The 15,916-nt window shown below is 42.4% G+C and overlaps 1 pseudogene across 1 annotated transcript in view; it reads right to left on the bottom strand.

Annotated features, from left to right (window-relative positions):
* The window catches only part of CCDC162P (coiled-coil domain containing 162, pseudogene), a 189,118-nt pseudogene that overhangs the window by 115,775 nt on the left and 57,427 nt on the right, over nucleotides 1–15,916 (bottom strand). Inside the window, exons 12-14 of the transcript NR_152435.1 lie at nucleotides 12,496–12,608; nucleotides 11,980–12,115; nucleotides 11,525–11,728 (exon numbers count right to left, since the gene is read on the bottom strand). The product of NR_152435.1 is annotated as a coiled-coil domain containing 162, pseudogene (transcript). The remainder of the gene's footprint in view (nucleotides 1–11,524; nucleotides 11,729–11,979; nucleotides 12,116–12,495; nucleotides 12,609–15,916) is intronic.

The following is a 15,916-nucleotide window of genomic DNA, read 5'->3' as shown; positions in this document are numbered from 1 at the left end:
AACATATTAACAAAGAATATTGGCAGGAAGAGGTAGTTCCTGAGGTGGATAACTAGCTGATTAGTTTGTTTTTCTGACAAATTCAGTAGCAACTGGAGAAAGGTAGGAAATAGAGCCTAGAGTGGTCTCTGGAGTCAGAATGCCTGGGTTCAGGCTCTGGCTCTGCCAGGATCTCATCCTGGGCAGGTCATTCAGCTATTCCCAGCCTCCGTTTCCTCATCTGTAACATGGGGACTGTGGAGACACTATAGACTATGTTAGCTGCCAGGAGTATGTGACTCTATGAGTGTAAGGCACTTGGAATCCTTAAATGTTAGGTTAAAACTATTTTTCTTGTAATTCTATAAGTACTTCTAAAATGTGTTAGCACAGTTTCATGGCTTACTAATGTACTAAGTTGAATAGTGTCCCCCAAAATTCATGTCTACCTGGAACCTGTGAATGAGAACTTATTTGAAAATAGGTCTTTGCAGATGTAATCAAGTTAAGATGAAGTCATACTGGATGAGAGTGGGCCTAATTCAATGACTGTGATCCTTACGAAATTTGGAGACAGACACGTAAGGGAGAAGGTCATGTGAAGACAGAGGTAGAGACTAGGGTGAGTCAAGGAATGCCAAGGATTGCCAAGGGTTGCCAGCAACTACCAGGAGCTGAAAGAGGCAAGGAACTATCACCTCTAGAACCTTCAGAGAAAGCACGGTCCTGCTGACACCTGGATTTTGGATTTGTGGCTCCAGACTGTGAGAGAATAAATTTCTGTCATTGTGAGACACAGTTTGTGGTACTTTGTTTTGATAATCCTAGGAATCGAATACAAGTAAGAAGTATTTCAATCATAATGTTATTTTTCTTAGAAAACTGAGTATCTGCTGCTTCCTGAGAATCGTTATTTTAATAATAATTTTCACAATTTCCAACCTCCACTCTCCTCAAGCCTCGGAATCCCTCCCTCCCAGGCGTAGTCTCCTCTTACTCCCAGGAGGAGCTCCTCTGCGCGCCACTCTCCGCCGCCTCCCCAGGGCTCACATCTCTCCCCTCCTCCTTCCTCCGCACAGTGGAGGACAGTGTTGCCCCCCTTCTCTAGGGCCGCTGCCTCCCACCTCAGCAGCATCCCTGCTCCTTCATGGATATCCCACTCCTCTCCGCTGGACTCTTGACACTGAAATGTGCACACGTCCCTCTCATTGTGAAACTTCCTCACACCCTTCCCCAGGTTCCACTGTGTGGCTCTCCTCCCCCTCACTGTCCAATCTCCCAAGATGTTATCTACAATCTCCATTTCTATTTCTTCACCTCCCACTCTTCAACCCATTCCCATCTGGCCCTTGGCTCCATCGAGCCACCCAAACCACCCTCACTAAGACCAACAATGACCACTGCTCTACATGCAACAAACTTTCTTTCATCATCTTACGTAATCTCTCAGGAGCATCTGATATAATTTAGTGCTTCCTGATTCTTGACTCACTCTCTTCTCCGGGCATCTGGGACTCCACGTTCTCCCTGATTTTGCCTAGTTTCCGGTCATTCTGTCTGACACTGTGAAGTGTATTTATTTTTCTCTACCAAGTCCTTAAATGATGGCCACTCTCAAGCCGCCTCCTAGGACCTCCTCTTTTCCTCCTCTGTTCCTTCCCTAGGAGGTGGCAGACATTTTCATAGCTGAGATTACCACCTTTAGACCATTTGCTCCCCAGTTTATGCCTCCAATCCAGACCCCCTAGAGCTCCGGACCCGCACATCCAATTACCTATTTGGCAACTGCTCCTGGGCATCTCAAAGCCCCCTCAATTTTAACAATGATCAAATCATTAAATCTTCCCCCGCAAACCCAGGCTATCTCCAGCCGATTTTACTAAATAGCACCACCACCCATCCACTTCCTCTAGCATGAATCATTCACGACATCTCTTTCTGCCTCGCCCTACTTGTCCAATCTATCACCAAGTTCTGTTAGTTTTACTTCCTGTCTCTCAAATACATCCACTTCTGATATAGGAGGTGGGTCAGGGAAGTGCTGAGTAGAGAAGGGTGAGGGTTCCACCCTTGGGCCTATGCCCTCAGACCTAAGGGAGAACAGGTACTCCTGCTTTTGTGCCCGAATGTTGCATTTTCCAAGACCACTCTGGCCCACCATCCTGTGCCCATATAAACCTGAGACCTTAGCGGGCACACACGCAAGAAGCTGAATGTTGAGAGGAACAGAGGAACAGAGCAGCAGAGAGAGGCAGAAAGCAGAGCAGCACAACAGAGAAGGAGGGAAGAGGCCTCTGAACGTCCAGAGGAGTTCTGCCGAAAACAGCTGAACTTCAGAAGATTATCTCCCCCACCCCTCCACCTCTAGCTTCCCATCCATCTCACTGAGAGCCACCTCCACCACTCAATAAAACCTTGCATTCATCCTTCAAGCCTGCGTGTGATCCGATTCTTCCGGGACACTGGGCAAGAGCTCGGGATACAGAAGGCTGTCGCACTGGCCGTCTGCCCTTGTGATAAGGCAGAGGGTCCATTGAGCTGATTAGCACTCAAGCCATCTGCAGACAGCAAAGCTGAAAGGGCTTTGTAACACGGGTTGCAGGCACCCACCGCTAGACACTAAGTGGCGCTGAGAGCACAAAGCACTTGCCCTGGCCTCTGCACCTGCCTGTCTGCATGCTCCTCCTTGGGGTTTGAGCGGCAGGGCCATGAAACAGGCGAGCCACATCCCTGTCACACATTCTACGAGGGGAAATCAGGGAACTCTCCCGTTTCACTTCTTCCCATCTCCACTACCCACTACCCTAGTCCAAGCTATTATATTTCATGAGGACTAGTCTAGGAGCTTCTAAACTGGCCTAGCCTCTTAAATGGTCTATCCATGACTCCTCTGGCCTGGGCTTTCCCTCCTCTCCATTTTACTCACTGCTGGCTGGGGAACTTTTACAAATGCAATTCTGATTGTGTCATTCCCCCTTCCCCCTTTTCTATCCCTAAGAGGCTTCCCATGGGCCACAGAATAAAGCAAAACTCCTTAACAGGGCCATACAATCTGGCCCATGCCTATCCCTCTAGTCCAGTGTTTTTCAGCTGAGAGTGATTTTGCCCTCCAGAGGACATTTGGCCATGTCTGGAGATACTTCTGGTTGTCATGACTTAGTGGGAGGTACTGCTGGCATCTGGGTAGAGGCCAGGGATGCTGTTAAATATCCTGTAATGGACAGGAGAGCTTCTCACAGCAAAGAATTATCAGGCCCCAAAAATCAATCGTGCCAAGGCTGAGAAACTCAGAGCTAAGTTCCATTGTGCATCACCTTCCACCTCGTGTCTGTGCCCCAACCACTCCTGTCTTTTGGTTTCTTATAGGTGCCATGATCCCTCTGGCCACAGGTCCTTTGCACAGGCTGTCCCCACTCTGTGGAAAGGTCTCCCTCTCCTTTTTACCTAATTAAAGACTTTTCATTTTCCAACCTCAGCTCAATCGTCACTTCCTTAAAACCCTCCTGCCCCAGCCTCCCTATAGTACCAAGGAGCTCTCAGTCTCTCTTTTGAGGAACTTGATGTCCCTGTTTTACATTCATTTGTGTGATTTTTGACCAATATTTATCTCACCCACTGGATTACAAAGTACTGTAAGGGTAAGGAACATGTCTATTTTTGTTCATCATTTTATTCTCATTGCCTAGCACAGGGCCTAACACATAGTAGGTGCTTAGAAAATATCTGTTAAATAAAAGAATGTATGAATGGTTTTTATATTTGCGCATATAGGTTTCTTTGAGTCTATGATTTGTAATCTCTACTTTTAACATATGCTTTTAACATATGCCTGTGCTTTTAACATATGCCCATCAAAAATCCTGTGTTTTGCCTTCATAGATTCTGATCTCATGTCACCACAGCCTAATACATACATTCTATATGGGGGGATAATGCCCAGGTGGAAAGTGGTTCTTGGAGGACAAAAAAAATCTTATTCTTTTTATATATGAAGCACAGATACACACATTGCACATAAGCAAATCTATGGCATATCTCTGGTGTTAATATTTCTTTGTAGGGGGAGAGTAGGGGAAAAAAAAAAGTTGAAAAAGGTTATTTGTTGGGGAAGCCATAATGGAAAGGAGGTTAAAAAACACTGGCCTAGATATCTATCATCTCTCTCTCTCTCTCTCTCTCTCCTCTCTCTCTCTTTCCTATCTATAGATCTATCTATCTATTCTTATTATTGTAAAATACACATAACATAAAATTTACCATCTTATTTTTTCATGTACAATTTAGTGACATTAAGTACATTCATGTTGTTGTGCAACTATCACCACCCATCTCCAGAATTATTTTCATCTTGCAAAACTGAAAATCTGTACCCACCCAACGAGAATTCCCCATTTTTCCATCCTCTGATCCCCTGGCAACCACCGTTCTACTTTCTGTCTCTATGAATTTGACTACTCTAGGTGTCTCATGTAATGTCCTTTTGTGACTGGCCTATTTTACTTAGCATAATCCCATCGAGATTCATACATGTTACAGCATGTGTCAGAATTTCCTTCCGGTTTCAGGCTGAATTATATCCCGTAATGACTATGGAACTATCACATTTTGTTTCATCTGTTGATAGACACTTGAGTTGCTTCCACCTTTTGGCTATTATGGATAATGCTGCTATAAACATAGGTGTACAAATATCTTTTTGAACCCCTGCTTTCAATTCTTTTGAGCATATACCCAGAAGTAAAATTTCTGGATAATATAGTAATTCTATTTTAAATGTTTGAGGAATCTGCATACTGTTTTTCATAGTAGTTACACCATTTAACATTTCTACCAACAGTGCACAAGGGTTCCAGTTTTTCCACATCCTCACCAACATTTGTTATTTTCTGGGGTTTTTTTTTTTTTTTTTTGAGACGGAGTCTTGCTCTGTCACCAGGCTGGAGTGCAGTGGCACGATCTCGGCTCACTGCAACCTCTAACTCCCTGGTTCAAGCGATTCTCCTGCCTCAGCCTCCAGAGTAGCTGGGACCACAGGCACATGCCACCATGCCCAGCTAATTTTTGTATTTTTTGTAGAGACAAGGTTTCACCATGTTGGCCAGGCTGGTCTCGAACTCCTGACCTCAGGCGATCTGCCCACCTCGGCCTCCCAAAGTGCTGGGATTACAGGTGCGAGCCACAGCGTCCGGCCTATTTTCTGTTTTTAAATATATATATAGTATATTTTTATATTTTAAGAAAAACAATCTGATTTTCTTAGTTGTTACTCATGAGTCATTTAAGCTATGGAACCACTGGCTCCCAATCTTTCATCTTATATCTATTAACTCTTATAAAAACTTTGCTAAGTAATCAGTTGTATAGAATCCATTTATCTATAAATTTTAAGCAATCATATCCTGGCTGTCTGAAGACCTATCAATTGTTTTGTTTATGTGGCCTTGCCTGTAGTACTACAGGAACACTCCTGGAATCTTAACAAACAGGACAGATTATCATCTGCTTAGATGGTTAATTGCCAATATCAGAAAGATGGATGGGGTCGCTCTTTGGGTCCCTTCACTTCTATGACTGTATAATTAGTTTTTATGGGCTGTTTCTTAACCATTCAAGCAGAAACATAGAAACCTTCCAATAAGTAAATGTGAACATTTCTAAATAATAGTTATAGTTCATAATATTTCATCAAAAGGATACTTCATAATTCATCATTCCTCTAGCAGCGTTTTTCGTTTTGCTTTGCTTTTTCTATGCTTTAAGCATACAACTTTTTTTTTTTTTTTTTTTTGAGGCGGAGTCTTGCTCTGTCACCAGGCTGGAGTGCTGTGGCACAATCTTGGCTCACCACAACCTCTGCCTCCCAGGTTCAAGCAATTCTCCTGCCTCAGCCTCCCAAGTAGCTGGGATTACAGGCACGCACCACCACCATGCCCAGCTAATTTTTGTATTTTTAGTAGAGACGGGGTTTCACCATGTTGGCCAGGATGGTCTCGATCTCCTGACCTCATGATCCACCTGCCTCAGCCTCCCAAAGTGCTGGGATTACAGGCGTGAGCCACCACACCTGGCACAACTTTTTAATAATTAGTAGCTTCCTTTGACTAGAATTCCAAAAATGAAATTATCTTTTTTTTTTTCAAATGGTGTCTCACTCTGTTACCCAGGCTGGAGTGCAGAGGTGCAACCTTGGCTCACTGCAACCTCCACCTCCTGGGTTCAAGCTATTCTGCCTCAGCCTTCTGAATAACTAGGATTACAGGCATGCACCACTATGCCTGGCTAATTTTTTGTAGTTTTGGTAGAGATGGGGTTTCACCATGTTGGTCAGGCTGATCTTGAACTCCTGACCTCAAGTGATCCACCTGCCTCAGCCTCCCAAAGTGCTGGGATTACAGGCGTGACCCACTGCGTCCAACCTGAAATTATGATTTCTTACAAAATGATTGGTACCAGTGGAAAATAGAAAAGATGCTGAGAAAAGGACATGTTCCATAAAAAAATTAAACAGCTAAGATATATAAATTACCATGTTGGCTTCTATTAGCATTTAGCTCCTGTCTCTTGTTATGTAAAATGAGCTTGCCTTTGAGGAAAAAAGAAACAACTTAATGTGTTATGCTTTATTCACTTTATTGGAAAAGACCTTTCCCAAAGTTCTTGTACAGAAGAATTTTATAAGTCTTTCAGGCAATGGCAATTGGATTAAGTTCTGAAGCTGATGAAAAGCAATAGTATTGTCAAGATGCCAACTTTAATGCCATCATCTATATTAGTGGTCATTTTTCCACTCTTCCCATCCACATCCCATTGTCCAAACCCTTTATATAGGCATACATATTCCTTCTCTTTCTGCCATAATTTGCTGTCTTCCTCCCTCAGTCCCATGTCTCTGAAATACATGCTTATGCCACAGGAGATACACTTTAAAGATCAGATGACCAAATTGCCTCAGTTACTTTAATGTTTCTTTATTTCCTGTTTATTTTCATTTTTTCCACAGTCATGTGGAAGACCCTCCCTCTAATGGTTTTGTGGCCTAGAGAGTTGATCCTTCAATATTATGTTTGGAGGAGTGGCAGAAGGAAGAGGGCAATAATTATCTGTTTGGGTAAGAAATAATATGACCTTTGCAATGATTCATATGTTTTTAGTTTGAAAATTAACCGATGCCAAGATAACTATTTGCTGAATATAGTAACTATAGGAAAATTGGTGGCCCATCATTCATTCCTTTCACCCTAGTGGCTTCTGCCATCACTTGTTAATGTGAATTTTAGGCCTTTTGGCAATATAGACAATATTTCTCCGACTAGTTTACCTTTTTGTAAGTCATCTTGCATTAATTTTGGATAATAATAGTTCTGCCTAAGAACCCCATCAAGATTTGTTGGGTGAATGACTCAGTCTATTGGCTATAATCTTTTAAAAAGAAAATCAAATATATTTTCTACTCTGCCTTTCTTTCTAGTCTGTAGAGTACGTTATTATTATCACAGCTAATTGTTCTGCATTTGAACAACATGATAACTTTGCAAAGCACTTTCATGTACATGGTCTTCTTGTAAGCATGCTACCATTCTGTTATAGGCAGAACTTTTCTTTTATCAAATAAACATTTGATACCTGCAATGTATCAGTATATATCCAGCTCTCTACTACCTTTTGCCACCTGAACATCTTGTTAAGCATCTCAAACTTTCCATGTCCTGTACTGAGATCCAGATCTTCCCAACAAATCTGCTTCAACCAAGTCTCAGTTGATGGCAACTCTAAACTTCCAAATGGTTAGGCCAAAGCTTTGGAATCAAACTTGATTTCTCTATCTGAAAATCATGCTGGCTGCACCTTTAAAATACATCCAGATTTGTTCAGGAAGTCTATGGAAGCTTTGGTGCCAAATCATTGAACGTTCTATATATGTTACTTATTTATTTAATGTCTGTATTTCTTCATGCAATAAGTCTCAAGATGGCAGAATTTGTGCCCATTTTGTTCACTGCTGAAATCCCAGTGCCTGGAACCGTGCCTAGTATATTTATTGGTCAGAATATTTGTGGAATGAGTGAATGAATGGATGAGTGATAGGCTCACAGCCTGTGGGAACAAACATGCCAACAGTCAAGCACAGCAATGTGCTCAGTGCTATAATGGAAGTAGACAAAGTCATGGCGAGAAGCACTTAGCTCTGCATTGAGATGTCAAGGAAGGCCCAGAAAGGTGATATTTGAGCAGACTCTGGATAAGAGTGCACATTTACCAAGGAAAGGGGAGGTGAGGGACAGAGGAGCCCAGAAGTACGGATAGCTCTGCCCATTCAGGGGAGGTCTAGGCCCAGCTCCCTAAGGATGGACATATAGGGACAGTGGAGATAAATGAGGTCTGAGAGGTTAGCAGCAGCCAGATTGTGCCCAACATTGTCAGCTTCACCAAGGAGCCTGGACTTTGTCTTGTGACAAACAGGAAACTCACGAAGGACTACAAGCAAGGGAATAAATGTGATTACATATGGGCAAAGATCCTCTGGAAATTTACAAGCCAATGAAAAGAGCCATTCTCCCATTTAAAAGAGTTCTCCGGGCTGGGCGCGGTGGCTCATGCCTGCAATCGCAGCACTTTGGCAGGCCGAGGCGGGTGGATCACTTGAGGTCAGGAATTTGAGACCAGCCTGGCCAACATGGTAAAACTCCATCTCTACTAAAAGTACAAAAATTAGCTGGGCATGATGGTATAGTCTCAGCTATTTGGCAGACTGAGGCATGAGAATCACTTGAACTCAGTAAGTGGAGGTTGCAGTGAGCTGAGATCATGCCACTGCACTCCAGCCTGGGTGACAGAGCAAGACTCTGTCTCAAGAAAAAAAAAAAATTCTCTGTTCTCCCACCAACCTTGGAATTAGTCCCCCACTCTAAGGAGAGCCTAACCCTTCATGATCGGGCCCACTTTTCTGCTGCCTCATCTCCTACCGCTTCCTCACAACAACCTCTGCTACCAGCACGTCAAGTCCCAGCAGATCCTGAACATGCCACAGGGTATCAGGCCCCCATGCCTGAGAAGACACAATCAAGGTCAACAGCCAGGTAAAGGCTGCTGGCTCTCATTCTGGGGCTCTTTCTACTCTGCCACATGCCTTTAAGTAGGCTTATAGAGTGGCAAAGTGTCCAAGACAGATGGTAGGTGCCTTTTTCTTCTGGCATTGTTGTTGAGTGAACATTCATTAATATTAGCCCAAGACTTTCAGCATGAGATCAAATTCACTGGACCCAGGAAAAGGGGTCTCCATTTTAGGAGCCTTCCTGAGGTCTGGTAAGCCCAGTGGTTTGCTCCCAGCAGCCTCAGCCCTGGGCTTGGTGAGTTCAACCCAACAGATTAACATCTCTGACTCCCATCCCCTCTGGGGGAAAGAATCACACCGTCCAGAGCTGGATATCCTGGTGTAAATATTGACAAGGCCACACCCATGGGGTGTAGCTAAACCAAGTAGTCCTATTAAAGACAGACAGAAGGCCACTTCCTTGAGTGTCTCATACTGAAGTAATAGCAGCTGGGAGCTATTAAGAACAAAAATAGGCACTGTTTTTCTTATCATTTATGAGAGCATAGGAAAGAAATATTGCATTAAGGCCGGGCGCGTCAGCTCACACCTGTAATCCCAGCACTTTGGGAGGCCGAGGCGGGTGGATCACCTGAGGTCAGGAGTTTGAGACCAGCCTGGCCAACCTAGTGAAACCTTGTCTCTACTAAAAATACAAAAATTAGCTGGGTGTGGGGGTGGGCACCCATAATCCCAGCTACTCGGGAGGCTGAGGCAGGAGAATCACTCGAACACAGGAGACAGAGGTTGCAGTGAGCTCAGATTGCGCCACTGCACTCCAGCCTGGGCAACAACAGCAAAACTCCACCTCAAAAAATATATATAAATAAAATGCATTACCCCGAGAAGTTCCTCCTACAATGAGTATGGCAGGACAGTATTTGCCTATCCTCTCCTCCTTTATATCTATCTCCTACCCAAACCCAGAACAGAGAGACAGAGAGGGCTCTTTAGTAAGAACATTTTCAAAAATATCCATTAGCATAATAACGTACCACAGCTGTGGTTGGATCAATACTAGTAAGAGAAAGATGTGCTTGTTTTGTAGCATGTTTGTATTAAAAGTGTCTTAACTCACCTCTCTAGTTCCACTGAGGGCCAAACTAATTGGGCTTGATGAGCTAGAACCCAAGGAGGAGGGCAGAGGGGTAAAGGAAGATCTGAGAGGAAGTCTGTGTGTCGTGAGGGAGTAGGAGTTGGTGGGTGCTTTTTAGGGTAGGAGACCCAAAAGAGAAGGGTGTCCTGAAGATTGAGTGAAGGTAGGACTCTAAGTGACTGGTTGGGAAAATAAAAAAAAAAATCCCAATATCTGAAGCTGAACTGTTCAGTACATGTGGCCTCTAGCCACATGTGGCTGTTAAGCCCCTGAAGTGTGGCTTGTCTGAGTTAAAATGTGTTATCTGTATATAAAATATACACCAGATTTTAAACACTTAGTACAAAAAATGTATAATCACTCAATGATTTATTAATATTGATTATATGTAGAAATGATAATATAGACATTGGGCTAAACAGATTATATTATTTAAAATTTCATGTTTCTTTGTACTTTTTAAAATGTAGCTACTAGAACATTTTAAATAATGTATGTGGCTTGCATTATATTTCTGCTGGCCACTGTTGCTCTAGACTGTGTGCATACGAACAACAGTTAAGAGTAAGATTTTACACTTACAGACACAACAGGCATAAGTCAGAGGTCACACTAGCTTAGAAAATGACTTGTTTTGTAGCTAAATAGATTTTATTTTTCACCTTTGTCAATCTAGCATTTTTAAGAAGATAAAATTCATATTAAACTCTATCTTCAGGAATAAACTCTCTAGGGATTGAGATTAAAATATTACAAGAGTGTCTACAATAGTCCAATAAAATATAAGCATTCTCAACTTTATTCTCAAAGAAAGAAAGTTAATATGAATTTTGTCTTATTGGCCTTTTGTTAGGCAGGATTGAAATTTTATAGACTTTGTAGAAAAATATGTTCTAGAAACACCAAATGCACTAAGGGGCAAGCAGGTGTTTGTAGGGATAAAATATTTCTTTATTGTTCAGCTCTTTCCAATGTTTTTCTACCTCTGTTTTGAGTTTTTTTTTCATTTGAAGCTTGGAAAACAGAAAAGAGGCAAAAAAGGTACATATAGCAATGTCAAGGGGAGTCTTCTAAGAGTTTCTCTGTAAGGATGTAAAGTTCTCAGGCCAGGATAACAGAAGGGCTTCTCATGCTCTATTTCTTCCTTCTCAGTGTGGCCTCCAGGGCTGCTTTAGGGCACTCTCTGCCTGTGACTTGCTCTTAAGCAGACCTTGTGTTTTATTATGATTAAAAGGCCTCTTCCCTAAGAAACCCTCATGTGTTACTCCATCATGTTAATTGATTCCAGGTCTTATCTAGAGGGTGGCTTTGGGAGGCAGGATAATCAAGGAAGAAAAAACCTCAGCACAACACCTCACCTTGTGCTCAGCAGGTGTCTCACGGACATAGTGGTGAGCGCCCAGGCCCTGCAAGGTGCCCAGACCTCCTTTTGCCATATTTACCCAGGAACTATCTTCCATGGTGGGGACCAGTTTCCCTGAAACCAAGGTAAGGCCCGAAGTATTGATTGTCAGGGTTCGCTCAACAGATCTGAAATAATTCAGAATTCCTAAGCAGATGTGCTGAAACAAAGAAAAGAACAGAATCAGGTCCCTGCCCTTCACCTAGTCCACCCTATAGAATACAACTTGATGGCAGGTCAACCCTACTGTGGGAAAGGAACACACCACCCTGGAAAGGGGCTGATTCCATGTTAAAAAGAAAAAAAAAAGTGGAACAAAGGGCAAAAGCATAAAATGCCATTTGCTATTGGAATAGCAGAAAACCTCTTTTCTAGACAACCAGACATTTCTGATGCCTGCCATCCACATACCTGCAGTTCTCTGATTCGAAGGTGGCACAGATACAGAAAGGACAAGTAGGCCCCTCTCATCAGAACAGGATTCCTATCACTGGGGTCAGTGCCGTCTTCCAAGCCCAGCAGTTGTAGGGTCATTGCATAGTTGTACCTTTAGCAGGCAGGAGAGATATCATAAATCAATTTCACCTCAAAGTGATTCCAAAATTTCACATGCACAAAACTAAAGTCATTTTACTTAATTTAAAGGTGTTTCATGATAGCTTCCCTTTATAAATTTCTGAGGGGAAATAATTACTCTATATGTATACATGTAAAGACAAGTTTCTCTTAGCAATTACTCTCATTAAAAACACAGTCGTAGGGTGAAGCATTAGTTTAGTTGTCTGACCTGTTTTAAAAGTCTTGCTTTCTTTCTGACTTCAAATATTTTTGAGTTAACATGTAAACTACATATTAATCAGTCACTCAGTCTTCCCCACAGTGTTTTAATCCACTTTTTTGAGTCACTAATAATATGATTTAATTTACCCTGTCTCTTGTATCTGCTTGAGAGGCCCATCAGCATGTTGGCTGAGAGTTATCTGTGATAGATCATTTTCATTTTGTTTCATGGAGAGGTCATCATCTTTCATATTTTTATTCTATCAAAAAATTAGCATTAATCAAATTACATAAACATTTGCAATATGATTAACAAAATCACAGTCAGGTCATTGCAAAAGTAACCCTCATAATCCAAAGCATATTTAGATAAGTAAGTAAAAGAGGGGTTTGATCTACTTCAAGCTGACATATTCAACCTGACATCTAAATTTCTACAATAAATTAGGGAGGTCATTGTTTTTACTAAACTAATCTTTGTTTCACGAAAGTAGTCACAGCTTTTAAATAATAGCCATCTACCTCCCTGTCTTTTATGTAATTCCCTTTATAAAAAGTTGATACAAGAATGTATATGTTTGGGACCTTTGAACCTCTCTAATCTAGTCTTGTTCTGTACTGAGAGAGCTCAGTGGATAAAGCCTCTTTCTACGTATTAGCTATATGGTTCAGTCATTTACAGTCATGAGCCTGTTTCCACATTTGTACAATGGCATGATAATGGAAAATGATAAGGTGTTGTGAGAGTTAAATGATAGAATGTATATAAAACCTCCAGCTTAGTGCCCGGTACCTAATCGGTGCTCAAGATGCCAGTTCTCTCCTGTTACGAACTTCAGTAGTCCTGTACGATCTCTCACAGCATTCAAGGTTCACACTTATTTCCACAGTCATCTTCCCTGATGCTGAGAGGGATGTGATCATGCACCCCAGCCCCAGATAACACTGTGAGGAAGACAATGCGGGTCTGAGGTCCTGCCCCTCACCCTCTGGGCAGCCTCGTCTTAGCTGCCTTCTTTGCCTGTCTCTGGGCATACACCCCAATCTCATAAGGTGTGCACTTTCATAGTGGCACCAATCCCCACAAAAGTACTGAGTGGCAATGGCTGAGCTTGGAAATCCCCTCTCTGGGTTATATTCTAATAGTTGGTTCTTGGAATTCCAACGGACCCTTATTGCAGAAACTGCTAGTTGTTCCCCAATAGCCATTTTCCTCTTTTCCTACAGTTATTGAATATTTATCTTGCCACCTGACCACCTAGATACAGACAACATTTCCAAGCCTCTCTTGCAGCTAGGTGTAGCTACGTGACAATGGACTAGGAGTAAAGTGCCATGTTGCAGCTTCAAAGGATTTCTAGTAGAGGCAGCTTCTTCATCCCTTCTCCATCCTGCTACTTAGAGCATGAATGTGACAGCTGGAGCTCTGTCTCAGGCTGGGTGTTGATCTCAAATGTAGAGCCATATTTGTTAGAACTCCAAGATAGACAGGGCTGAGAGCCCTGAGGGCTCCATAGTGCAAATCTACCACACCAGCTCTGTACATCCTACCCTGAAACATTCATATGAGGGACAGAGAGCACAATTTCCACCTCCTTTAATCCTCTGTCATATCATTTTACCATCACCAACAGCCAAACCTAATTTTAACTAATACAGTCCCCAAGACTCTAAAGATAGACTAGCAGGCTTTTGACAGGAAGTGAGGAAGGAAAATGTTGACAGGAATATTAGGAAAAGTGGGTGAGAGAGAAAGTTGTCCAATTGAGTAGCGTTAAGTGATTGCCCATTATGCTTGTAGGTAGAATTGGCTTCCAGCTCAGTGTACACATCAGTGTATTTCTGTGTAAACATCCCACAACCCTAGGACTGGAAAAGACCCTGTGAGGTGACATGGTGCATTCTTGTTCGTTAAAACAGAAAGATCGGCATTCCAAAGTAAAGAACATCTGTTATGTTTTTTAAAATCTATAGGAAAGCATATACTCTGAGAGTAGCTGAATTTTGACAATTCCTATGAATATGGGGTAGCAGGGGTTCAGTGGAGCCTTTTGCCTCCTGGCCTGTAGTGCTCTCAGGTTGCTGTTCAGCACTGCTTGATGTGGTCCCAGAAGGAAGGCTCTGAGCCACATCCTTTCTCTGATGGGATTGTGACACTTTCAGCTGCTTCTAAAATTACCCAGAATTACATAGGACAGGACAGAAAGTGACATCAAGTTACAGTGGAAGACATTTGAAGGACTGACTGAACAAACCACAAAAGTACTGCTGGACCTGCAGGTGGCCTGGGAAAAAGGAAGGGAGCACAGATCAGCTGGAGCAGGAAAAGGAGAGCACCCAGCATCCTCCAGGAAAAAGGACCAACAACATCCCACAAAAGGAAACTGCTTAGGAAATACCAAGTCCAGAAGCATGGACCCCTAAGCGTACTGGAGACGGTGCAGGTAAGCAGCAGGGCAACCCCATCTGTGTTCATTCTCCCGGCCTGGGTGTGGAAATCTGCTGACCTTTACTGCCTGCGGCTCTTTGTCAGCATGGCTGAGTTCATGTGTTTAGACAGTTCTGAGATTTCTGCTGATTGCAAATCTCATTTTCTTCTGGGAAGTTGGCAGGGGAAATGAAGTGGGAGGTAGGTAGGAAAAGTAAGACTGTTATGTATTCCCCACACCCAGAACATCTCTGCTGCTTACATGGGTTTATCCACTGAAACAAAGACCAGAAGGATATATACCAAATATTAATAATACTGTTGTTATTCTGGATGGTACAACAAGGGGTGATTTTAGTTTTCTTTCTTGTATTTTTCTATATTTCCCAAGTTTTCTGTGTTAAACACATGCCACTATTATCATCAGAAAATTTTTTAAGTAAATATTTTATTGAATTTGGTGAGAAGAACCAGGAAAAGGGTGTTTTGTGTTTCGCTGAATATGTTGCACATCGGAGCTACTGTCTACACCACCATTTCTGTGCGAGCACACCTTCTTCTCACTACATCACATTACCTCTGGAAATGCAGGGGAGCACCTCCCCTCCTTGGTGTGGTCAGTGGGAAGAGGCAAAGGAAGGGCTCTACCACTGCCCCCCGACACTGCAACCTGGATGTGGTGTTTGCTGCTGCTTTACTACTCCATGAGGTTAAAAAAACAGTGACCAATTTAAACCTTATCTTTGAAAATACGATGGTCAATAGTAGTGTGCGATGTCTATACATAGCCATTTTAATAAATGTGCTTTTTTTATGAACATGAGTAACTTGATCTAACAATTACAGGTTCCAGAGGTTCTACACAGGCCTAGCTGGGGTGTAATCTGTAGTATACAATAAAATACAACTCAGCCATTGAAAAGAACAGCAGATCTCCAAGACATATTGTTGGGTTGCAGAAAGATATTCATATAGTATGATATATCATTTATATAAAAACCTCAAATGCAAACTTATCCTATATATATTTTATGGGGACATATGTATGTATGTAAATGCATTGAAAAGGCTCAAAGCAATAACCATGTTTGCCTCTAAGGAGGTGGAATGGGGAGCAGGATGGGCAGCAGGGAGTAGTTA

The sequence above is a fragment of the Homo sapiens genome, chromosome 6 (genome assembly GCF_000001405.40).
Source record: "Homo sapiens chromosome 6, GRCh38.p14 Primary Assembly".
Classification (NCBI taxonomy): Eukaryota; Metazoa; Chordata; class Mammalia; order Primates; family Hominidae; genus Homo; species Homo sapiens.
Note: the sequence above shows the minus strand (reverse complement) of the source record. Positions and strands in the feature narration are given on the sequence as shown.